Genomic DNA, 26,430 nt, shown 5'->3' on the forward strand with positions numbered 1-26,430 from the left:
GTGAAAGACAGCATCTGGTGGGTGAGGTGGTTGCTCAGAGGGTGGAGTATTCTAGGAATCAGACTCTACTACTCTGCAAAAGGCTTAGGTGAAGGAGAAGCACCTTTCCTATTTGTTATAAATGGAAATATTGTAACTTCAGGGTGTTTTTTGCTAAGCTCTTAAGTGATAATATATGTAGTTTTAAATTTTTATTTATTTAGAGACAGGATCTCACTCTGTCACCCAGGCTGAAGTGCAATGGTATGATCAAACTCACTGCAGCCTTGAACTCTGGGCTCAAGTGATTTTCCTACCTCAGCCTCCCGAGTAGCTGGACTACAGGTGCAAACTACCACGCCTAGCTAATTTTTTTTTTTTTTTGAGACGTGGTCTTACTCTGTTACCCAGGCTAGAGTGCAGTGACGCGATCTCAGTTCACTGCAACCTCCGCCTCCCGGGTTCAAGCAGTTCTCCTGCCTCAGCGTCTTCAGTGGCTGGGATTACAGGCGCGCCACCACGCCTGGCCAATTTTTGTATTTTTAGTAGAGACAGGGTTTCACCATGTTGGCCAGGTCTTGAACTCCTGACCTCAAGCAATCTACCTGCCTTGGCCTCCCAAAGTGCTGGGATTACAGGCGTGAGCCACAGCGCCCGGCTGCCCAGCTAATTTTTTTAGTTTTTAGTGGAGATGGGGCCTGTCTGTGTTGTCCAGGCCGGTTGTAATTTTTTTTTTTTTAACACTTAAACTGCTCCTTTAAAACAATATTTTTTTTGTCATTTTATTTGTGTTCACCGTTTCACTGCAAACCCTGAAGGAGGGTGTGGAGCACCGTTCTGGAATCCCGTTCGTTGTTTAGCAAGAGGTTGGTGATACCAAATCCCCCTTTCAAAACAGTGAGATTGTTTCCCAGGTTTTTTTGTTTGTTTTTTGTTTTTTTGCTGACAACCAGATTTTCTGTAAACTTAAAGCTTTGTTAAGGACAGGGTTCACAGGCAATTGACATTCCCTCTCTGTCCCTCCTCACACCCTCCCTATATTCACATGGTCAATCATCAGTGACTCTAGGGCTGACATTTTGTACACACTTTGTCCAGTGCTTGGCCCTTTTGGGCCTTTGATTTCAGGTGACATATTTTGATATCTGCTTTTAATCCCTCATGGGGAATGCTTCTCCAGTCACCATCATCTCATGCCATGATGCCACTGTTAGTGCCTGTGCCTTACTTTGATGCTACCTTCTACAAAAAAAATTCCCATTTCCTTCCAAGCAGAAGGGAAAATCCCCTTCCTCAAAACCCCAGAACCCCAGGAAGAAGTACAAGGGAAGTACGTCCACTTTGGAGTCAGACAGACTTAGGTTTGAACACCAGCTATTTCATTCCTTGTGTCTGACTTTGGCCAAATTTCTAACTTCTCTGAGCCTTGCCTTTAAAATGAAACCCATAATTCTTACATCAAAGCAACTGACAGGATTAAATGAGATAATAGGTGTGAAGACCCTAGCGCAGTGCCTGGTTCTTGGTGGGCGTGTAGGAAACGGAGTTCCTTTTCTGGACCATTTGTTTGTTAGGTCCCTAACAAACAGGTCCCCCTTCTTAGAGAGTTTGTTACTTCCTTCGTTGTTGTTATTTGTATGTTAGGTCATAAGCTTTTTTTTTTTTTTTTTTGAGACAGGGTCTCACTGTGTCATCTAGGCTGCAGTGCAATGCGATCATATTTAAAGCTCACTACAACCTCAAACTCTTGGGCGTGAGCGATTCTCCCACCTTAGCCTTCTGAGTAGCTGGGACTATAATCACATGCCACCACACCCAGCCATAAGCTTTACTTGCAGTGCTTAGAGAGCCTGGCACATGGTCTGTACCCAACGGAGTTAATAAAGGATGAAACTATACTTTTGTGTTTCTGTTGTCTTGTAGAAAGCTCATAGGTAGGAAGAACATACGCTTTGGAGCAGAAAGAACTGTGTTCAAATCCATTCTTCTACTCAACCTCTGTGACCATGAGTGGGTTGTTTAGCCCGCCTAAACCTCAGTGTTCTCATATGCAAACCTGGAGAATGTCTCGTAGGGTCATTGTGAAATCCAACTGGTAGGTTGCCTTATATTACTACTAATTTGCGCTATTAAAGGCAAGCTGATATAAATTAGAACTCTTCTGAATGGGCCTTCTATATTTAAATGGGCTTTTTCTAGGAAGTGTATATTTGTAAACTTGTCTTGAATGGAAAAAAAGAAAATACTTGTAGATTTGAATGAACCACCTGAGAAGATCTCATTGTAGTCTGTCATAAATCAATTTCTCTGAATCATCTGCTATATATTAGCAAGATAAGATCTGCTTTCTTAGTGTTCGAATACAGTACTATGCTCCAGAGAAAAAGAAATTGCTGGCTGGGGAATAAGTAATTAAAGCCAGTGACAAAACTTTCTAAAACTCAGTGGATTAATTTCATTCTAAAACTTCTGAGGTTGTTACCAGCACGGCACTCTCTCATTCCAAAGAGAAAAAAATGATATCTTAATTGAGAAGTTCTTTCTAGGCTATCTTAACTGCCTTTTCTGAGCACAGCGTTTATCACGGGCAGATGTGTGATTTTTGTCTTGTTTGGAAATTCAGGTTTCATTTTCTCAAGTGTATGATAACAGCAAGCATCCCATAGGTGTCGTTGAATACTCTGGGGCTTGTCTCTCTGTAAATTGCGACTCTGCTGTTTTCCAACTTGTCATCTTAATGGAATGAGTTTCCCATGGAGAGAATCTAAATTGTTATGTTCTTGACATAAGCAGACAGATTCTTGCTCTACATTCCCTGACATATTGACTTGATAAGTGGTGGTTTTACACAAGGGCCCAGTCATCTCTTAGGAATTAGGAAACCATTCGGGGTGGAAGCAGCAATCTGTTTAACCACCAGGGGGCCTCTCCTCTCCCAGTTTCACCCAGAAAAGCACCATTTATATTTTCCAAATTATCTGTATTAAGATAATAGAATCTAATAAGTCTTACATGTATACATCTATCATGTTCCATCTTAAAAAGCTTATCTTCCAGAATTATAGATAAAAATATATGAATAAGCCATAAAAAAGAATGAAGTGCAGATACGTGCTACAACATGGATGAGCCTTGAAAACATTCTGTTGAGTGAAAGAAGCCAGACATAAAAGGACACAGATTGTATGATTCCATTTCTATGAAATAGCAGAATAGGCAAATCCGTAGAGATAGAACATAGATTGCTGGTTGCTGAGGGCTAAGGGGAGACACAATGGGGAGAAACTGCTCGGTGGGTTTTATCTATTTTTTTTGGAGACAGGGTCTCACTCTGTCACTTAGGCTGAGTGCGGTGGTGCAATCACAGCTCACTGAAGCCTCAACCTCCCTAGCTCAAGTGATCCTCCTACCTCAGCCTCCTGAGTACCTGGGACTATAGGCATGTGCCACCATGCCCAGCTAATATTTAAATTTTTTGTAAAGATGAGGTCTCACTGTATTGCCCAGGCTGGTTTCGAACCCCCAGGCTTAAGTGATCCTCCTGCCTCGGCCTCCCAAAGTATTGGGATTACAGGTGTGAGCCACCGTGCTCAACCAATGGGTTTTATTTTAGACTGATGGAAATATTTGGGAACTAGACAGGTGGTAGTTGCACAACATTGTGAATGTAGTAAGCACCCCTGAATTGTTTGCTTTTTAAAATGGTTAATTTTATGTGAATTTTGCTTCAATCTTTTTTTTTTTTTTTTTTTTTTTCTGAGACAGGGTCTCACTCTATTGCTCAGGCTGGAGTGCAGTGGCTCACTGCAACCTCTGCCTCCTGGGCCTCAGCCTCCCAAGTAGTTGGGACTACAAGCACACGCTACCATACCTGGCTCATTTTTAGTATTTTTAGTAGAGGTGGGGTTTCACCATCTTACCCAGGCTGGTCTTGAACTCCTGGGCTCAAGGAATTTGCCTGCTTCAGACTCCCAAAATGCTGGGATTACGGGCGTGAGCCACTGCGCCCAGCCCAATGCCCACGGTTCTTCTTGCCAGTTCTGTTGCCTGGGTTGCCTTCTCAGCTGTGATGATCTTTTCCAGGTTTTGTCACATCTGTCCTAACTGGATTATAAGTAAACTCCTTAAAGGCTGAGACCAACTTGTACTTCTAAAGAACAAGAGTAGGATATTTGTGAAAGTGTCCAAGTACGGGAAGGGGTGAGTGGATGAAACAAGACTTGCCATTCATTGGGGTTCTACTCTTTACCTTCCAGAACAGTCCAGGCTCTGCAGACAGCATCCCACCTGTCCCAGCAGGCTGACCTGAGGAGCATCGTGGAGGAGATTGAGGTGTGAATCTTTTGCCAAATGCATCTCCCAGCTCCTGTCTTTGACACTCTGCAGAAGAATCTTGCAGATAGCCATGCATGATCTGTTACTACAGGTTACATTGCTTCTTATATCCATGGCACACTTGTGTTCTTTGTATTAAGGTATTGTGTCCTGAGGAATATTTGTGCCTATTACATAATAGGTCCTCAGGACGTGGTGACTGTGGTTTTTATTATTGCTCTATCCTTGCCTTTGCCCAGAATATCATGCTCCTCTGGGACCTCTGTCATGGACTGCCTGGCAGGAGTGACAAGCAGTCCTGATGGTGTTCTCACTGGATGCTTCACAGGCACGTTGGTTGCCTAGTCATGTTGCCTAGGAGAGCAGTATGTCTCTCTTTGTCTTTTGGAGCATTAAGAAATTCTGGGAAACGCTGTGCTTTGTAGGTTGTATTCAAATGGATGGCCATGGACTCCATCTGTGTCATGATGCTTCCTGGGTGCACAGCAGCCTGGCCCACTGGCTTTCCACCCAAAGCAGCTGGCGTGTTCTGTGCCATGACTCCTGGGCTTGGGCCTGCATACAAGGGGCCAAGGAAGGAGCCCTCCCAAAACTGCAGAAGATAGTGCTCTCCTCAAATGTCTGTTTGATATACTTTACTCTGCCTAAGCACCATTTTTGAGAAAGTATGAAGTGACTGAGATGGTCTTCAGATTTAGAGTGAGAGATGTCACGAAGCTGTCTGCAGTGGGGTTGACAGTGGTTCGTGCATCTCATTTCTGCTGTTACTTGACATCCAGCATATTTCTGTTTTGTTATGGCAGGACCTTGTTGCTCGCCTGGATGAACTCGGGGGCGTGTATCTCCAGTTTGAAGAAGGACTGGAAACAACAGCGTTATTTGTGGCTGCCACCTACAAGCTCATGGATCATGTGGGGACTGAGCCATCCATTAAGGAGGTACCTATCTAACAATTTTCAGGCATGAAACCCAAAGGGGTCATCAGCTGTATCTGCTAAGGATGGCTTTTATCAGAGAGGAATGTTCAGACAGTACCTTGGGATGCTGTCACTCAGTGTCCTGGGTTAGGGATTAAGAATGAGAAATAGAAAGATGTAATGCCTGTCTTCAGGAAATGGGTTGCTAGTGAGGTAGACGTGTAAACAAACCATGCTTGCTTTAAATGGGGTATGTACATGTCACGAGGTAGTATCAAGGAAGCCACGTGTATTACTCCTGTTTCATCTCCCTTTCTTCCCAGTACCCTTTTCTGCTTGTCGCCTGAATGCTTTCCACTCTGGTGGCTCATTCAGATCCTTCTCTGGGCTCACAATTGCTTCTCCTCCCTTCCCCCTTATGCTCAGCAACGGCTAAATCTTAGCTAATCTTTGCTGATGGACATAGTTCACTGAGAGGCATGTGTGTCTATCACACATCCGCCAAGAGTTCATTCTTTTTCTCAAGAGGAGGTTGTTAACCTGAAAGAATCTTTAGTTGGAATGCATGTGGGAAGCCTTTTTGAGTAGGACCGTCTTTGTACCCCTTGTTTGTGAGAAGTTACCAGCCCTTAATCTAAAGTACTTAAAATACAAGCTGCTTTTATTTAAATTTTAGGAGGAGAGATTTGGGTTTTAAGTGAGAATTTTCATTTCTTTATGCATTATGAGTTTTGTGCCAAGTTTCTTTAAGTAAATAGTTATCTGTCTTGGATAATTGGAATTAATTTCATATTTTCTCCATGTGGTCAAATAAGTTATTCATGTGTTTGCATTCTTTTTGTGTCTCTTCCTTTGTCCTAAGTGTAGGAGGTCTAGAAATATACTCCCTTTTAATTTCTGTTATGGGTGAAATTGCAAGAGTGTGGGGTCTTAGGGTACAGATTGTTTGCTGATTGTCCTATACACAGTAAAGTAGATGAATTAATGATATTGTACTTATACAACTTAAACATTTTCTTCCTTTATTTCCAAGCTGCTGCTAACCAGGTACTTGGCTGGAGTAATTTCGCTGTCACTGCTTTTGACAAAACAATTCTGGTGAACAGTCACCCATTTTAACGTGTCAACAGAGTAGTGATGGAAAATTGTAATTGGTCCAATTAAAGAAAATTCTTTCATGTTGACTGTGAATAACACTGTCAGGAACAAGAGAGCCCTTTTGTTGGATGGTAGATTTTAAAAAACAAAACTGATTGAAGGGGAAAATGTTTCCTCCTAAGCAAATAACCTCCAGAATTTTAATAATGCCTTTTAGGTTCCACTTTTTTAAAAAATTGCTTTTAGTTTTCTCCTCTAAGCAGCCCATTAGTTCTTAATGGAGAGTTATTTTAGTTTCTTTTTAATGTACATTTTAGCTATAAAGTTTGGTCTTATAAATAAAAACTTTGCCTCAATGTACTACTTACAAGTAGGTTGGGAGGAAAGGTAGCTTAGCTGGGAGGATAATGAGAATCAGGAAAGAACAGATTTTCTTGTAGAAGGACTTTGGAGACAAACAGTCCTACATTTGAATGTTGGTCTTGCTAATGTTGTGGTAACTTGCAGAAGTTATTTAGCCTCCTTTAGCCTCAGTTTCATTTTTTGGGAAACATTGATAATAGCAATCTTTTATAGTTTTTGTCAAAATTTGAGTTAATGCATGTAAAGCACCTATCATGATGCCTGGCATATATAGACATTAACAAATAATTACTATTATATATATTTCATAATATAGTTTCATATCTCAGTAGTTATCTGGAAGTACCCTGCATTTGTGTAGTAAGCATTATTATGATTTTTTTTTCAGACAGAGTCTTTCTCTGTCGCCCAGGTTGGAGTGCAGTGGCGCGATCTTGGCTCACTGCAACCTCCACCTCCTGGGTTCAAGCAATTCTCGTGCCTCAGCCTCTTGAGTAGATGGGATTACAGGCGCATGCCACCATGCCTGACTAATTTTTGTATTTTTAGTAGAGTTGGGGTTTTTCTCTATGTTAGTCAGGCTGGTCTCGAACTCCTGACCTCAAGGGATCTACCTGCCTTGGTCTCCAAAAGTGCTGGGATTACAGGCGTGAGCCACTGCACCTGGCCTGTATAATAAGCACTTATTAAATAACTGACAAATCATGAATTTCAGTTTATAAAGGAAGATGGAAAAAAAAACAACCACATCCAAGTTCTAAGTTTAAATGCAGAATATTTGCGTTTTCTCCATCTACGAATTTGGATCATTGACCAAAAGACCTCCCATGTGAACACCCGAAACAGATAAGGGTGACTTTCCTCTACAGCAGTGGCCCTCCCACCTTCCCAGCAGAGGAAGAGAAACAGCTGCATTTCGCATTTCTTTCAGGATCAGGTCATCCAGCTGATGAACGCGATCTTCAGCAAGAAGAACTTTGAGTCCCTCTCCGAAGCCTTCAGCGTGGCCTCTGCAGCTGCTGTGCTCTCGCATAATCGCTACCACGTGCCAGTTGTGGTTGTGCCTGAGGGCTCTGCTTCCGACACTCATGAACAGGCTATCTTGCGGGTAAGACATCCATGCCCAAAGTGTGCCCCTCTGATTATCATTCCTAGTGGAAGGCTTTCAGAAATCTGGACTATGGTCACAGCCAATTACAGCCCCTACAAGGACATACCCATTAAATGGAGGGCAAGGCTCATTTCCCTGAGCCTTGAAATGGAGACATGACCACTCGGTGAACTAGCCACAGAACCCTTCAAATCTATTAAAAAAATTTTTTTCCCCTCGTGGATTTTTAATTTTTGTTTCTTTTTTTGAGACAGAGTCTTGCTCTGTCACCCAGGCTGGAAAGCAGTGGCATGATTTTGGTTCACTGCTGCATCCACCTCCTGGGTTCAAGTGATTCTTGTGCCTCAGTCTCCCAAGTAGCTGGGATCACAGGCGCACACCACCATGCCTAGCTAATTTTTGCATTTTTAGTAGAGATGGGGTTTTGCCATGTTGGCCAGGCTGGTGTTGAACTCCTAGCCTCCCAAAGTGCTGAGATTACAGGTATGAGCCACTGTGCCTGGCCTCTCCCTAGAGGATTTTAAATAGTACAGGCTTGGCTGGGTACTGTGGCTCACGCCTGTAATCCCAGCACTTTGGGAGACTGAAGCAGGCGGATCATGAGGTGAAGAGATTGAGACCATCCTGGCCAACATGGTGAAACCCCATCTCTACTAAGAATACAAAAATTAGCAGGGCCTGGTGGTGCGCACCTGTAGTCCCAGCTACTCAGGAGGCTGAGGCAGGAGAATCGCTTGAACCTGGGAGGCAGAGGTTGCAGTGAGCCGAGACTGCACCACTGCACTCCAACCTGGTGACAGAGTGAGACCCTGTCTAAAAAAAAAAAAAAAAAAATACAGGCTTTCAGTAAGTGCAGGAATATTGCATTTCTAGGTCTATAACTCCAGATGTATAGAGAAGTCTTGCATCTAAAATGCACTTCCCAATACCAAACTTTCTTTTTCATATTTTTTTGGTTTTGTTTTGGTTTTTTTTGAGACGCGGTCTCGCTATGTCGCGCAGGCTGGAGTGCCGTGGTGCGATCATGGCCCACTGCAGCGTAGGCTTCCTCCAGTACCCAAATTTTCTAAATATGTTATTTTACGACAGCTGTTTTAATTCTCAATTAATTCTGGTGTTTATGGTTGATCAGTTCTCTTTTTCCCTGGTCCTTGATGGGATATCTTTTTGCCTCTTTATAGCACAGTCCTCCCTTTCACTCAGCAGTAAGCATAGACTTCTCCTTTGTGTTAACTCGTTGAACAGAGCACATGCACAGATCTTGAATATGCTTAGAACTTTTATCTCAAATGAGGCGTTTTGTTGCTGTTGTTTGGAACCAGTGATAAGCTAAGATCTTCATGAGAAATTAGCATTTTATTAATGTCTAAGTGTTGGGTTTCCACTTAGGACAGTTCTGTCTGTCCCATTAGTTCTACTTTGGTGGCCCCTGCAGATATCCTCCTGAGCGAGTACCCTGTTCTTCAAAATTGCCCATTTTCTCCCTACATACAACTCATATACCCTCAACAAAGACTTGGGTAGAAAGTAACCTGAGTAACATGGTTTCCTGTGAGTCAAGAGGGGCTAAGAGAACAAAGTGGAAAAAGAATTGACTCTGAAGTTAAATAGATGGTTTGAGTCCTGGCTCAACTGCTTAACTGGCCATGTGACCTTTAGCAGTCCCTTAACCTCTTGTGGCTTGTTTCTTCACCTGTGCAATAAGGATTATTCTATCTGTGTCGTACAATTGATAGGAGAATGTATGTAAAGGGCCTAGCCTGGTATATGCATATAGTTGACTTTCAACAAATGATAGTTATTAATATTATCCATATTTCTTTAATTTTCCCATTGCTGATACCATTCTAAAGTATTTTTCTGGCTGATTTATTTATTAATTTTTTAGTAGAGACGGGGTCTCACTGTATTGCCCAGGCTGGTCCCAAACTCCTGGCCTTAAGTGATCCTCCCATCTCGGCCTCCCAAAGTACTGCAATTACAGGCATGAGCCACTGCACCCAGTCTAGCTGAGACATTTTTTTTTTTCTTTTTCAGAGACAGGGTTTCCCTCTGTTTTCCAGGCTGGAGTATAGTGGCGCAATCATAGCTCATGCTAACTCTTGGGCTCAAGCAGTCCTCCTGCCTCAACTTCCTGAGTATCTGGGACTACAAGCACATGCCACCATGCCCAGCTAATTTTTTAATTTAAAAAACTTTTTTTTTTTTTGGTAGAAACGAGGTCTTGCCATGTTGCCCACGCTGTTCTTGAACTCTTTGGCATCAAGTGATCCTCCTGACTCAGCCTCCCAAAGCACTGCAATTATAGGCATGAGCCATCATGCCCAGTCTGATAAATTCTTTTAAAGATTCTGTAGTAGAGTGGATAGAATAGGGAATCAGAAAGAAGGCAATATATTGGCCAGGTGTGGTGACTCATGCCTGTAATAATTCACTTTAGGATTAGGCAGCAGGCCCAAGGTCAGCCAAGATTTCCCGAAGCAGGGGATTTGCTCTCCTGCAGAGCTTGCAACCTATAGATAAAGCACCCCAGAAACAAAATTCTCTGCTCCTGTAGCCTTTGTTGTAACAAATAATTTTTTATTTATTTCCAGTTGCAAGTCACCAATGTTCTGTCTCAGCCTCTGACTCAGGCCACTGTTAAACTAGAACATGCTAAATCTGTTGCTTCCAGAGCCACTGTCCTCCAGAAGACATCCTTCACCCCTGTAGGGTAAGTCCTGATCATATTTTGGTGGGGCGCTGACCTCTTTGTTTTGGAAAGTTAGCCTGCAGCCAGTGTAACAGATTAATACATTCCAGTTAGGTAAATTTGATCTACTGGTATCGAAAGCCTACAGTCGAATGTAAGAAAATGATTTTTAAAATGAAGATTATTTGGTTTTACTGTTTCATTCTCTGTTTCTAGTTGGCTCTGTCTTGTCATTGTGACATAAGTAGCTATTTTGAAATTTAATATTTATTGATTTTTTTCTGATAAATAATAATGTTTATTATAGGAAAAATACAGCAAAGCACAAAAAAAGAAAATATAACTTACCCATAATGCTACCATTCAGAGATAACTTTTGCTAACTTTTTTTTTTTTTTTTTTTGAGGCGGAGTTTTGCTCTTGTTGCCCAGGCTGGAGTGCAATGGTGCAATCTCAGCTCACCGCAACGTCTGCCTCCTGGATTCTAGCGATTCTCCTGCCTCAATCTCCCAAGTAGCTGGGATTACAGGTGCCCGCCACCACGTCCGGCTAATTTTTTGTATTTTTAGTAGAGACAGGGTTTCCCCATGTTGGCCAGGCTGGTTTCGAACTCCTGACCTCAGGTGGTCCACCTGCCTCGGCCTCCCTAAGTGCTGAGGTTACAGGCATGAGCCACTGTGCCTGGCCTTGCTAACATTTTATAATTTTTTTTTGACAGTCTTTTTTCTATGTATGTAAATAAATTTTAAAAATTCAGTTAAGGGCCAGGCATGGGGCTCATACCTGTAACCCCAGCACTTTAGGAGACTGAGGCAGATGGATTGCTTGAGCCTAGGAGTTTGAGACCAGCCTGGGCAACATAGCAGGACCCCATCTGTAATTTTTATTTATTTATCTATTTATTTTTTGAGATGGAGTCTTCCTCTGTCACCCAGGCTGGAGTGCAGTGGTGTGATCTCGGCTCACTGCAACCTCCACCTCCCGGCTTCAAGCAATTCTCCTGCCTTAGCTTCCCGAGTAGCTGGGATTACAGGTGTGTGACACTACGCCTGGCTAATTTTTGTATTTTTGGTAGAGGCAGGGTTTCACCATGTTGACCAGGCTGGTCTTGAACTCCTGACCTCAAGTGATCCACCCACCTCGGCCTCCCAAAGTGCTGGGATTACAGGCGTGAGCCATTGTGCCCGGCCTTTTTTTAAATTAGAGATGGGGGCCAGGTGTGGCAGCTCACGCCTGTAATCCCAGCACTTTGGGGGGGCCAAGGTGGGCGGATCACTTGAGGTCAGGAGCTCGAGAACAGCCTGGCCAACATGGCGAAACCCCATCTCTACTAAAAATACAAAAAAATTAGCCAGACGTGGTGGTGCACGCCTGTATTCCCAGCTACTCCGGAGGCTGAGGCAAGAGAATCACTTGAACCCAGGCAGCGGAGGTTGGCAGTGAGCTGAGAACGCGCCATTGCACTCCAGCCTGGGCGACAGAGCGAGGCTCCATCTCTATTAAAAAAAAAAAAAAAAATCAGGGTATGCTTTATATGTAACAATGTGCCACAAACTTTTTTTTATAGGATTAAATATTCTTTTACAATTTTTTTTTTTCTTTTTTGAGATGGAGTTTTACTCTTGTTGCCCAGGCTGGAGTGCAGTGTAGTGGCGTGATGTCTGCTCATTGCAATCTCCACCTCCCAGCTTCAAATGATTCTTCTGCCCCAGCCTCCTAAGTAGCTGGGATTACAGGCACCTGCCACCATGCCCGGCTAATTTTCGTATTTTCGGTAGAGATGGGGTTTTACCATGTTGGCCAGGCTGGTCTTGAACTGCCTCAGCCTCCGAGTGGCTGGGATTATAGGCGTGTGACCTCAGGTGATCCTCCCACCTCAGCCTCCAAAGTGCTGGGATTACAGTTGTAAGTCACCATGCCTGGCCTTTACAATGATTTTTAATGGCTGCATATTATTGCTATGTAATTTTTTAAAAACTAAGGCCCAGTTTACTGGGTGTGTGGCTTGCCTATAGTTCCAGCTACTTGGGAGGCTGAGGTGGGAGGATCGCTTGAGGCTGGGAGGTCTAGGCTGTAGTGAGCCATGATCATACCATATCACTCCAGCCTGGGTGACAGAGGGAGACTCTGTCTCAAAAACAAAAACAAAAAACTAAGGGTCAAGCTGGGCACAGTAGCAGGTACCTGTAGTCCAGCTACTTGGAGGTTGAGGCAGGAAGATCATTTGAACCGAGGAGCTTAAGACCAGTCTGGGCAACATAGTAAGACCTGTTTCTAAAAGAAAAAAATTAAGGGTCAATTTTTATATGAATTAGTGTTTTTCCCAGCTAATTGTATAGAATTTTTTTTTTTTTTTGAGACAGTTTCGCTCTGTTGCCTGGGCTGGAATGCAGTGGCGTGATCTTGGTTCACTGCAACTTCTGCTTCCCAGGTACAAGGAATTCTGCCTCAGCTTCCTAAGTAGCTGGGATTACAGGCACCCGCCACCATGCCCAGCTAATTTTTTTTGTATTTTTAGTAGGAATGGGGTTTCACCATGTTGGCCAGGCTGGTTTCGAACTCCTGACCTAAAGTGACCCGCCTGCCTTGGCCTCCGAAAGGGCCAGGATTACAGGTGTGAGCCACTGGCCTTATATGGAACTTTTTGAAGTGTTAAATTAGGTAATAAGTTATTGAGATCAGGAGTTTTCAATTTTAGAGAGAAAATGCGTTTCTTAATCATAAGGATACATAGGCAATATGTGAAATTAAAAAGCAAAATCATTTTTAGGCGTGTCAATGGAGTGGTAAAAGACATTGAGATTTTACTATATAGTTAGAGTAAGGAATTCTCTACCTTTTTTTCCCTTTAAAATAAAAATAAATATTTTTAATAAAAGTAAGATATGTCCTTTTTGAGAAATTCACAAAACACGGAAAGGTAGAAATCATACCAAAAAATTAGCCACAATTATACTATCGTACACCAACCTCTTTGTACATTTTGGAGTATTTTCCTCTACATTTTTGTTGTCATTGTGAAACATATGTGGGATCACATTGTAAACTTCTCAATTTTACATTACACTGTGGAAAGCTACCAGGAGTTTGAATTTTAGGAGTGGTGGGAGTAACAAAGGAAAAGAAAACGTTGGAAACCTAGGGGTGTTCATCTTAGATACTTTTCTCCACATGCCAATCTGTGATTAAGCACGAGGGTCAGGCATGGTGACTCATGCCCCAGCCTGCACTTTGGGAGGCTGAGGCAGGTGGATCACTTGATCTCAGGACCCTGTCTCTACAAAAAACTGCAAAATTATCTGGACGTGATGGTGCATGCCTGCTGTCCCAACTACCAGGGAGGCTGAGGTGGGAGGATCAGTTGAGCCTACGAGTTTTGAGACTGTGGTGAGCTGTGATCGTGCCACTATACTCCAGCCTGGGTGACAGTGAGAACCTGTCTCAAAATAAAAAAAAAATAAGAAGCACGAGATTGCCCAAGTGGGGTGGGAAGTCAAAAAGGTAAGGAGTTGGCTAGCCTTGGACAGTCTCCAGGAGACATTTTGTAGCTCCTGTTTGTTATATCCATGACTTTCCTACCTGAGTTCTTGCTAAGCCCATTGTCATTCTTAACAGGGATGTTTTTGAACTAAATTTCATGAACGTCAAATTTTCCAGTGGTTATTATGACTTCCTTGTCGAAGTTGAAGGTGACAACCGGTATATTGCAAATACCGTAGAGGTAGGTGTTTTTCTTTCCTTCCCATTGCCATGTTAGTATATCCAAGGATATGGCCAAATTGACACAGTATTAATTGTCTGGTGCATTGACTTTTCTCTACAACCAAGCTAATGTGTTTATGTGGAGGGAGGGCTGCATTCAGTCTTTGCTGTTTGACAGACTTAGTAGCTAAGGCAGTAAATCAAGAACTTGGTCATAGTGAATTTTCTTTTATTTGTAAGTTTTTCATTTTCCATTATAATTTAGCATTACTGTCTTACATGAAATTTAGTTAGTAGAAAAAATAAAAATCACCCATAATTCCACTGAGCCTTAAACTCTTAAAGTGTTTTGTGTGATAGGCTTTGGTGGGTTTAGAAAAGTGCTTGATGCCAAATAGGTGACAAAAAGCACCAAGTGACACATACGTAACACTATAATGAAGCTATTTGGGTAAAGGATAAAAGAAAATCAGTAATCTTTCATAATGAACTTTGTTGATGTTTAGCTAACTCTAGCTGGGTTGAAGATCGAAGTAGCTTTAAGGATAGAAAGCCTTATTTACCTGATGCTTTGTGGGAAAGAGGTAGTTCACCTTAGTATTTTTCCCAGCTAATTGAAATTTACCCCATCTGGCATGGTGGCTTTCATTGTAATCTTTTTAGATAGAAGTTTATTTAAGATGAGTGACACATTTTCCTACTTTCTTACTTCCAATTTAAGATGGTTTCTTTGTCTTTCATGACCTTGACACTTGAAGAGGATGGGCTCTCAATCTGTAGAATGTCTCTCCGTTTGTGTTTGTCTGATGTTTCTTCATGATCAGGTTCAGGTCATGCATTTTCCGCAGTTCTATCCCAAAAGTAATGCTCTGCCCTACTCAGAACAAGAAGTATATGATGTCGATATGTCTTATTACAGGTCATGTTAACCTTGATCACTTGAGTAAGGTGATTGTGTGCTAGGTTTCTCTGCTGTAAAGTTGCTGTTTTTCTGCTTGTATTTAAGTGTCTTGTGGGGTGGTACTTTGAGACTCTGTAAGTATCCTAATGATGTTGTCTGTAATAGTTATTACTGTGGTGTTTGCCAAAGGGTGATTTTCTCTTTCATTCCTTCTACATTTTAAAAATTGGAATTCTGCTGTAAGAAAATAACTGTGTTTTATACCATTTTATTTATAACTATCATAATTCTTTATCATAACATGTTTATAATGTAATATATTTTCTATAATTCATATGTTTACAATAATTGCATCATGGACATTTATTTTACTATATACATTGTGGTCCATGACTCATTTATCTTGTTGCTCATTTTATCCTAGGTTTGGCCTTTGGAGAGCTCCTCAAATTGGCTCCTGTGACACTTGCTTTCTTTTAATGACAGAATTAATAGCTAGAAAGTTTGACCTTTTCAAAAATGCGGCATTACTTCCCATAGGTAGATTCAACACTTGCATTTAAAGTTTGGCAGAAAGGAAGATGTTTTCTGGAACTCGAATCTCTTCACCTCATGTGTTGACCTTTTTAGCATGAGACATCTGATCTTAGTTCGTTCACTATGGATAGAAGCTATTGTAGCGTATGCCTTGATCCTTTCAAATCCACATTCTTATAATGTTAGTTTCCTATGTTAAGAGGACTTATTTGCAACTGAACATATTAAAAGGAAAGTTCTTTTTTTCTTTTCTTTTTTTTTCTTGAAACCTCTTCTTCCCTGTACTTCGAGTCCATCTTAAATGCCAGGCTTATACCTCACAGTTCTTAACCCCTTCCTTTCTTTTCACTTCTACCTTCTAGTCAGTTACCAAGTCCTATTGATTCCACCTCTGATTGTCTTTTCCATGAGTCTTTTGCTGTTACAGTCACCAAATTGCTCTATTCTCCATATTCGTACCAATATTTGGTATTTTTAGGTTTTAGTAATCTGATGCATATGAAAAGGTATCTTGTTTTAATGTCTTTCCTTGGTTACTGGTAAAGTTAAACATCTTTTTATATATTTATTAGCCAATTACATTTCCTTTCCAGTGAATTGTTTTATATCTTTGCCTGGTTTTCTTTTGGTTTGTTAGTCTTATTACTGATTTTTAGGAGTGATATATGTTTAGTTGTGAGCATCAGATATCTTCCCCTAGAATTGCTTTATGGCATCTCTTGAAGCACAAAATTTAATTTTAATGAAGCCTAATTTAAATGTCTTTTCCTAGGGCCAGGTGAGGTGGCTCACACCTGTAATCCCAGCACTTTGGGAGGCCAAGGCAGGCGGATCACCTGAGGTCAGGAGTTCAATACTAGCCTGGCCAACATGATGAAACCCCATCTCTACTAAAAACACAAAAAGTAGCCAGGCGTGGTGGCACGTGCCTGTAATCCCAGCTACTCGGGAGGCTGAAGCAGGAGAATCGCTTGAACCTGGGAGGTGGAGGTTGCAGTGAGCTGAGATCGTGCCACCGCACTCCAGCCTGGGCAATGGAGCCAGACTCTGTCTCAAAAAAATAAATAAATAAATAAAATACAAGTTTTTTTGCTAGACTGTGTTTTTTATATCTTCTTTAAAACAATCCTGTGCTACCCCAAAGTCAAAAAGATATTCTCCAATGTTTTCTTTTTTTATTTTTATTTTTGTTTTTGAGACAGAGTCTCGCTCTGTCACTCAGGCTGGAGTATAGTGGTGCCATCTTGGCTCACTGCAGCCTCTGCCTCCGGGGTTCAAGCGATTCTCCTGCCTCAGCCTCCCGAGTAGCTGGGACTACAGGTGCATGCCACCACACCTGGCTAATTTTTGCATTTTTAGTAGATACAGGGTTTTGCTATATTAGCCAGGCTGGTCTCCAACTTTTGGCCTCAAATGATCCGCCTGCTTTGGCCCACCGACGTGTTGGGATTACAGTCGTGAGCCACTGCACCTGGCCCTCCAGTGTCTTTTGAACATTTTTAAAGTTGTTTTCCCCCTTATATTTAAGGCTTCGGTCTATCTGAAGTTCATTTTTGTTGCTGTAGTATTTTACACCCTTTTCTATAATTGTACTTATTGCATTATATTACCATTGTTTGTTTATATGCATTGCTTTTTCTTTTTCTTTTTCTTTCTTTTTTTTTGAGACAAGGTCTCATTCTACCACCCAGGCTGGAGTGCAGTGGCGTGATCATGGCTCACTACAGCCTTGACCTTCTGGGCTCAGGTGATCCTCCCACCTCAACCTCTCAGGTAGCTGGGACTACAGGCATGCACCACCATGCCCAGCTAATTTTTGTATTTTTTTCTAGAGACTGGGTTTTGCCATGTTGCCCAGGCTGCTCTCGAACTCCTGGGCTCAAGCGATCTGCCCACCTTTGCCTCCCAAAGTAGTGGGATTATAGGCGTGAACCACCACCTGCATTGCTTTTTCACTGGGCTGAGAACTCCTATGGGTGAAAACTAAATATTATTATTATTATTATTATTATTATTCTTTTTTTTTTGAAACAGAGTCTCGCTCTGTCACCAGGCTGGAATGCAGTGGCGCAATCCCGGCTCACTGGAACCTCCGCCTCCTGGGTTCAAGTGATTTTCCTGCCTCAGCCTCCCGAGTAGCTGGGGCTACAGGCACGCGCCACCATGCCCAGCTAATTTTTGTATATTTAGTAGAGACGGGGTTTCACTATGTTGGCCAGGATGGTCTTGATCTCTTGACCTTGTGATCCGCCTGCCTCGGCCTCCCAAAATGCTGGGATTACAGGCGTGAGCCACCATGCCCGGCCTAAATCTTATTTTTTCAGTGCTTGGTTTCCATTTAACATTACTTAGAGGAAGAAAAGGATAGAGTGGTCTAAAGATGTTTTTCCACATTGCAGGCCCTTCAGAACTCTGGCAATTCATCTTCCAGACTTAGCTTTTTTTTTTCTTTTTTCTTTTTTTGAGATGGAATCTTGCTGTCACCCAGGCTGGAGTGCAGTGGCACGATCTTGGCTTACTGCAACCTCCGCCTCCACCTCCCGGGTTCAAGTGATTCTCCTGCCTCAGCCTTCTGAGTAGCTGAGATTACAGGTACACGCCACCATGCCTGGCTAATTTTTTTGTATTTTTAGTAGAGACGGGGTTTTGCCTTGTTGGCCAGGCTGGTCTCAAACTCCTGACCCTCAGGTGATCTGCCTCGCCTCGGCCTCCCAAAGTGCTGGGATTACAGATGTGAACCACTAGGCCCGGCCAAGAGTTAGCTTTTATTTATTGATTTAATAACAGCTTTATTGAGGTATAATTCTCATACCATAAAGTTTACCAATTAAAAGTATGTAATTCAGGCTGGGCATGAGCCACCACGCTTGTAATCCCAGAACTTTGGGAGGCTGAGGTGGGAGGATCGCTTGAGCCCAGGAGTTAGAGACAAGCTTGGGCAACACAGGGAGATCCCATCTCTACCAAAAATTTAAAAATAAATTAGCCATGTATGGTGGCATGTACCTGTCCCAGCTACTTAAGAGGCTGAGGCAAGCGGATCCCTTGAGCCCAGGAGTTTGAGGCTGCAGTGAACTATGATCACACTACTGCACTCTAGCCTGGGCAACAGAGTGAGACCTTGTCTCAAAAAAACAAAAAGCCTGGGCGCAGTGGCTCACACCTATAATCCCAGCACTTTGGGAGGCCGAGGTAGGTGGATCGCCTGAGATCAGGAGTTCGAGACCAGCCTGGTCAGCATGGGGAAACCCCGTCTCTGCTAAAAAAAAAAACAAAAAAAACAAAACTATGCAATCCAGTGTTTTTAGTATTTTCACAGACTTGTGCAACCCTTGCCACAATGCCATTCCAGAATATATTTATCACCCTGGAGAGCAATGCTATATCTTTTAGTGGGCACTCCTCATTCTCTCTTCCTACTTTCTGCTTTCTGTCTCTGTGGTTGCCTATTTGGGACATTTTGTGTAAATGAAATCATACAATAGGTTACCTTTTGTGTCTGGCTTTTTTGTTTTTTCACTTAACATAATACTTCTAAGGTTCATCCATGTTGTAGCATGTATTAGTACTTTATTTCTTTTTATGGCAAAATAATATTCCATTGTATGGATATATCACATTTTGTTTACCGACTTATCAGTTAATGACATTTGAGGTATTTCTCTTTTTTGGCTCTTATGAGTAATGCTGCTGTGAACATTTGTATATAACTTTTTGTTTGAACACTTGTTTTTGGTTCTTTCAGGTATATGCTTAGGAATAGAATTCCTGCGTCATATGGTAACTCGGTGTTTCACTTTTCAAGAAACTAACAAGTTTTCAAAGCAGCTGCACCATTTTACATTTCTACCAGCAATGTGTGAGGGTTCCAATTTTACTACATCCTCACCAACACTTGTTATTATCTGACTTTTTGATTTTCGCCATCGTAGTGGGTATAAAGTGGTGTCTCATTATGGTTTTGATTTCCATTTCTCTGATAGGTAATAATGTTGAGTATCTCTTTATGTGCTTATTGGTCTCTTGCATATCTTCTTTAGAAGAATGTCTATTCAAATCCATTGTCCATTGAAAAAAATGTTTTTGGTCTTTTTTTCTTCCTTCTACAATCTATACACCTCTTATTTCCTTTTATTTATCTTTTTATATTATTGAGTTGTAAGGGTTTCTCTGGTTAGAGGTTCCTTATTAAATACATGATTTGCAAATATTTTCTCACAGTCTGAAGGTTGTATTTTCACTTTCATGATGTTGTCTTTTGAGGCACAAAAAATCTTAATTTTGATGAAGTCCAGTTTTAAAATGTTTTGTTGTTGTTGTTTGTGCTTTAGGTGTCATGTCTAAGATGCCATTATGTAATCCAAGGTTAAGAAGATTTACTACTATGTTTTCTTAAAAGAATTTTATACTTTTGGCTCCTACCCTTAGGTTTCTGATTCATTGTGAGTTAATTTTTGTGTATGGTGTGATGTAGGGGGTCCAGTCTTCTTTTGCAGTTGTCCTAGACCCATTTGTTGAAAAGGCTGTTCTTTCCCTAACGAATTGCCTTGGCACATACATCCTTGTAGGAATCACTTGACAATAAATGTAAGGGTTGATTTCTGGACTCATAATTCTATTTCATTAATCTGTATTGTCCTTATGCCAGTGCCACGCTGTCTTGATTACTGTAACAGCTTGGCATTTTGTAACATCAAATCTGGTGTTTGTCCAAGTGTTTCTGTGATTGTTGGAAAAATTATCTAAGTACAAAATAGCAGAAATGGCTAATAGCTCTTGTTCATGCAATGATAATAAGCCCCCATTGAGGCCATTTACTCTCCTTTTCCTCCCTAGTGATGGAGTAAGCATTACAAAATCTTCTCTCTTCCTCCTTATTACATTAGAGGTGTGTGTGTTTGTGTGTGTGTGTGTGTGTGTGAGTGTGAGAGAGAGAGAGAGTCGGCTTTGACCTTTGCCGTATATGCAACTTTTCTTTGTAATTTCAGTAATAATCACACTTAGAGCCTCAGAGCAGGTCATTGGGTCCTGTTTGTCCTCCCAAGAAATGCTCGACATTGGTCAGAGTGCATTAACGGTGGTTTGGTGTGGAAGTCCTGTAATAGCCCTCATTGACATTGGACTGGCTGTCAGGGGAAGCATCGGTTTTGGACGCTCTCATTAGCATTAATTGCCCCTAATGCACCATCATTTTTGACAGTAATAAGCTAAACAGGGGTGTTATTACTCCCAGCAGAAAGACTGCATTTCCTGGCGTTAAAACATTTTTTGAGATGTATATGGCATGTGGTGCAGGCAAAGAAAGGAATAGCATGATCCAGTGTAAAGCAGGCTTAGCTGCATTTAAAGTGGAGAAATAAGTCCCTTTCCTATTATAAAAACGAATCCTGCATTGTTAGTTGGAAGGAAGAAGCAGCTAATCAACAGGGATCCTACACTGAACTCTTTAAAAGAGGGCTTTGGAAAAAGTTACGATTTTTATTTCTAAATTTGCTTTAAAAGAGTAGCATAAAAATGCTTTGCTTTTGAGTGTTTCCAGAGACCCATTTATAGTGAGATTTTAGGAGCAGAAGGATTTGTTTTAAACTGTTCCCTATTTAGGAACAGCCCTACGGGTGTTTATGTGCAACAATGAAAGCTGTAACTTAGGAAACCTTTTAAAATTGGGGCTGAGAGCAAACCAAGAATGATGCAAGTTCACTGCAGTTTGCCCTTTGCTCACTCCATGTATCTGCATTGTCTGGGGATGCTCAGGATGTCTTTAGAACACACACGAAGCTGGATCCTGATTAGCTGGCCTTGGTGGCCAGTTAGTGCTGAGAGTTTACAGCCAGGATTCTAAGTGAAAACCTAAAAGCTGATAGCTTCCTTATCACTATCATTAGGAGACACTGAAGACTTTACACAATTCTTTTTTTTTTTTTTTTTTGAGGCGGAGCCTTGCCCTATTGCCCAGGCTGGAGTGCAGTGGCATGATCTTGGCTCACTGCAACCTCTGCCTCCTGGGTTCAAGCCATTTTCCTGTCTCAGCCTCCTGAGTAGCTGGGACTACAGGCGTGCATCACCATGTCTGGCTAATTTTTTTGTATTTTTAGTAGAGACAGGGTTTTGCCATGTTGGTCATGCTGGTCTCAAACTCCTGACCTCAAATGGTCCTCCTGCCTCGGCCTCCCAAAGTGTTGGGATTACAGGCGTGAGCCACCACGCCCGGCCTAGTCTGTTCTTTTTAATTGCTCCATAGTAATTAATAATATGCATGTATCTTTCTTTATTTAGCTAGTCTTCTGTTTATGGACATTTCAGTAGGATGATGATTTCAAGATCACATTTACAGATTAAATGAATGAGTTCTTAAGAGAATGAGTTAGAGAAATAGGGAATTACCTAGTTAATCTTGATGAAGATTGCAGAGTAGTTAACTCTGAAGACAGATTATTTTTATAGCATGGAGTATTATTGCTAATCCTCCTACCTCTCCCAAAATTGGAGGGCTGCTAAGCCCATCAAGCCTCCTCCTCAGTCTTCTTGCTATGGAATGTTTCCTACTCCCCATTTGGGGCCACCCATGGGCAGACTTGGGTCACAGTTCCTTCTGTGCTTTCATAACACTTTGTACATCCATTAAAGCAGCAACCTGGTTTATTATAATTATGGTTTGTGTACGGGACAGGAAGGATTTCTTGCCATCTCTGTATATTCCCTGAATGGGGAAAGTGCTCTCAGCAGGTGTCAAATCAAAGCTCTGTGGCTACTTCTTTGCCTGAGCCTTCCATTCCAGTTTGTTTTCCAGTGGAAATGATGTCAGTACTTGTCGGGTTGTGTTTTTTGCAAGAAAGCTTGCTCTGGTTCTGAGCCTTGCGTGAGTTGTAACGCTGTTAACTCAGCAGAGAGCCCAAAGAGCCAAAGTGAGGCTCCTAGCTCCCTTCTTGGGGGTGTCTATTCAACCTGATGGGCCATCGTCCCTCCTCCTCCACTGCCATAATTTCACCCAGTTGCCTAGACTCAATGACAGGCAATGATCCTAAATATAGTTCTGCTATGAATTCATAGGTGGCTGTGAATTCAAAAGTAGATGGTAATATCCTTACAGCTTCTGGTAATAAACCTTTACAGTTTTTTTTTTTAAAGCAAAACAACACCCCTATTCAACATGATAATTGAGGCTGTTGTCATAAAATAGTTATTACAGAGGCAGGAAAGAAGGCCGTTAGAAGGAATTACTTGATAGGTATCTTTATTTTTAATTTTTCTTCTTTGCCCTTGATTTGAGGTTGTCACACCTCGATATGGTATTTCAGAAAACTGCCAGAGCTATCCTTCAATTATTTGCCCAGCCCGTTATCTCTATTCCTTGATCCTGACTTAGACTATAAACCAGTGGATTTGGCAAGGATTTCCTTAAGTGTTACATTCAAACCTATCAAATATTTGGAAGGCTTACAGATCTGTTTGCACATAAAAGCGCCTTGGGTTTGCATAATTTGCACATTCAAACTTGGGTTTTAATTCAGAAATTTAACATGTTTTCTGTCTCTTTTGGATATTTACATTGATTTTAATCTAATTTTAAAATTTCTCATTTATTGGCATTAGCCCCTCTTTGTGAAGATGTTTAAGGGACATACAGAATTCAAACACTTTAAGAGTCAACATGGATTGGTTTGTGCTTATAACAAACTCCCAATCTCAGTGGCTTAAAACAATGAGGGTTTATTTTTTCCCCACGCTAGATTCTTTAGGTGGTCAACTGGAGGCTCTGCTTCATGATATCTTTGCTCCAGGACCCTGGCTGAAGGAGCAAGCATCTGGACATTGTGTCCATGTCAGAGGAAAAGAGAGAATCACACATTGATTCTTAAAGCTTTCACTTCTGCCCACATTTCATTGGCCAGAGCAAATCATGTGGCCACACTTGACTCCATGGGGGCAGGGAAGTAGAATTCTACCACATGCTCAGAAGGAGAATGAGAAGTACTTGGGCAACAGTACAGATAACTACCATGACTGTCTAACAAGGAGCTGAAGTGCATGGATTCTGAGTCAGAGTGCCTGAGCTTGACACTGGCCTGATCACTTCCTCACAGTCTGATTTTGAGCAAAGCAGCTTCATCTCTCTCATCTTTTATTTCCTTATCTGAAAAGCAGTACCTTACAGAATTGTGAGGATTAAATGAGATAGTCTTTACAAAGCCAGTGCCTTTCACATGGTAAGCACTCAATAAATCCTAGCTATCATTAGAACCCAATTCTTGCTGATTTGAATGAAAGGTACTGCTTAAGGATTTTTCCCCTTATTTATTTTAAAGGACACATGAAAAGATTTACTTTTTTTCTTTTCCTTTTTCTTCTTCTTTTTTTTTTTTTGATGTTTACCATCCATCCAAAGCCAGAAAAAGACATTTTAGGCCTCGGAATGGGAGAGGTTGGAAATATTACTGGGCTGGGTCAGTGTTATTATCATCCTTGAAGACTCTTGTTCTAGGATTTTTTCATGCCTTTACTCACCTTAAAGAATAGAAAACTTTATATCTGCATGTGAATTCCTGAACACCCACCAATTGACCTGGCAACTGTCTTCTCTATTTTCCTCTAGCTCAGAGTCAAGATCTCCACTGAAGTTGGCATCACAAATGTTGATCTTTCCACCGTGGATAAGGATCAGAGCATTGCACCCAAAACTACCCGGTAGGTGAGATGCCACCTGATCACTCAGGGAGCTGAGGCTCAAGAGCTGAGAGGAGTATGCCTAGGCACTGAGCCCTGCAGGCATCAGTTCTGTGTCAGCAGCCATCCAGCTTACATCCTAAATTAAAGAGTCTGTAGTTCCACTGGTCCTGCACCGGGGATTCTGCGAATTATCTAAGTGGATTTGGAGATTGTATATACCAGTGTTTAGTCCATGCACAAACTATTTATTAACCAGTCCTCAACGAGGTAAAGCGCTTACCTCAGGATGTTAGTCTGAGTCAGTCAGCTATGTCACTAAGCATATTATTTAGTTCAGATGATAATTTTTAAAATAATAAGACCTTCTCAATGAAGGAAGCAAGGTATTAATTTACATTCTGGTGCGATCTCCTTATCATCACAGTCCTGAATTTGCTTTTAGTGACCTAATGGCAAGTCTCTCTGGCCTATGATGGGTCTGAAATTAGTTGGAAGCCTCACACGTGCTTAAAATTGAGATGGCAGATACCCAGCACTAGGGCTGCCATTTCCCCCTCCCAAGTCCATGGAGGCAGTACTAAGAAGTCATAGAACATTTGCTCCCACTGAACTCAGACACAGCCTCAGAATCTTTTTTTGAAACATAATCTTCTAAGTAGACACTAACAATTGAACAGAGTTGGGCCAGAATGCTGTAAGAAGCCTGCTCATCAGCCCTCCCCCAGATCCTTATTGGCTCAGCGGGGATCTAGATTTCTGGGGTATAGTCCAGACCCCAACTTTACTCAACTAGGGTAGCTATAGAGGCCAGAAGACAGTAGGGTGAACCATCAAGGCTCTTTGAAGATGGGATGTTAGCCAGAGGCTGGAAGCCAAGCAGCTACTCCTTTTAAATCACATAGAGTTGGCCTTTGTGTCTCTGGGTTGGCTATTTTTGTAGTGATATTGGAGATAAGAGCACTGTTTAAGAATCCACTGAAGAAATGTCTGTGCGAGCGCTTTGCTGTTTAATTCTCTGCCTAGATGAAGAGTTGGTCTTACTTACGAGTAAATGTAAAATGTGAGTATAAAATAAAGCCAGGTCTGAGCTCTGTAACCATTTGGCTGGTTTATCCCCTGGCCATCTTACCCTAAAATCCCAGGAGATAGCTGTGAAAAGAAGTTTTCCTCATCAAGTCTGCCTTTTGGGAAAATGACTTTTTAAAACCCAGTTTCAGGGCAGAAAACTAAATTGAAACAGTGTCCAGGAAAAAAATATAGCATTAAAAAAAGACAAAGCTGAAAGTACCCTTCTTTCTTTTGTGTCTCCTACCTGCCTTGTCTCGATTTTGCTCACGTGTGCTGCTGGCATCAATCCTGTAATTATTTCTCCTTGCGGTTCTGCCAGCCCGGCTCTCCTGTGTGCCTGCAGAGGCCACACGTGAGCTCCTCTGGTGCCTGACTTTGTTGGAGTTGAGAGCCTTAGGTCCTTGAAGTGAAAGCCCAGAGGTACAAGCATCTGTACACAGCATTTCCCCAGATCCTGCTGGAAGTTTATTCTGCACTTTTCTCAGTCCAGGCTTTATCAGTCCAATTTGCCCCCAGGTTGCAGACAGTTCTCCACATCTGTCTGTCCACAACAGAAGTGTTACTATGGGAGAGGGTGGTTGAGGCAATGAAGTGAAGTATATATTTTCTGCCTGTTCTCAGAGATATACTGATCCTCTCTGAAGACTAACTCTATATGCCTCTTTCAGGGTGACATACCCAGCCAAAGCCAAGGGCACATTCATCGCAGACAGCCACCAGAACTTCGCCTTGTTCTTCCAGCTGGTAGATGTGAACACTGGTGCTGAACTCACTCCTCACCAGGTCAGGAAGACACCTAGACAGTTCTCTTAACCTGAAATGTGAATGGATACTAGAGTTTACAATGTGGTCTATAACATGGACTAGAGAGAATTCCACGTTCCTGCTTTCAGGTTTTGACCGAACCCTGACAGTCCATCAGGTTCTCCCACATGACACTCTCACCCTTCTACTGGTTGTAGTCCTTTACCTGGGATACACCCTTCTTTCTAAAAAGTTAGCTGGTATTGAGGAGAGGTACTTAAGGCAGATTTGCACTTAATTAAGGTCATTCCTTCCT

At 41.9% G+C, this 26,430-nt stretch overlaps 1 protein-coding gene across 11 annotated transcripts in view; it reads left to right on the forward strand.

The window, feature by feature from the left end:
• RPN2 (ribophorin II) overlaps positions 1–26,430 on the forward strand; it is a 62,290-nt gene that overhangs the window by 20,320 nt on the left and 15,540 nt on the right. For 7 of the 11 annotated variants that reach the window (NM_001324304.2, NM_002951.5, NM_001324303.2 and 4 more), the window contains 7 exons: positions 4,236–4,311; positions 5,118–5,252; positions 7,624–7,800; positions 10,398–10,516; positions 14,111–14,216; positions 24,229–24,320; positions 26,039–26,153. In NM_001324304.2, the coding sequence (NP_001311233.1) occupies positions 4,236–4,311; positions 5,118–5,252; positions 7,624–7,800; positions 10,398–10,516; positions 14,111–14,216; positions 24,229–24,320; positions 26,039–26,153 (820 nt within the window). Of the gene's footprint in view, positions 1–797; positions 846–4,235; positions 4,312–5,117; positions 5,253–7,623; positions 7,801–10,397; positions 10,517–14,110; positions 14,217–24,228; positions 24,321–26,038; positions 26,154–26,430 lie in introns of all 11 variants that reach the window. The other 4 variants (NM_001324301.2, NM_001324305.2, XM_006723851.4 and 1 more) reach the window with 1 other exon arrangement.

Source organism: Homo sapiens, chromosome 20 (assembly GCF_000001405.40).
Source record: "Homo sapiens chromosome 20, GRCh38.p14 Primary Assembly".
Lineage (NCBI taxonomy): Eukaryota > Metazoa > Chordata > Mammalia > Primates > Hominidae > Homo > Homo sapiens.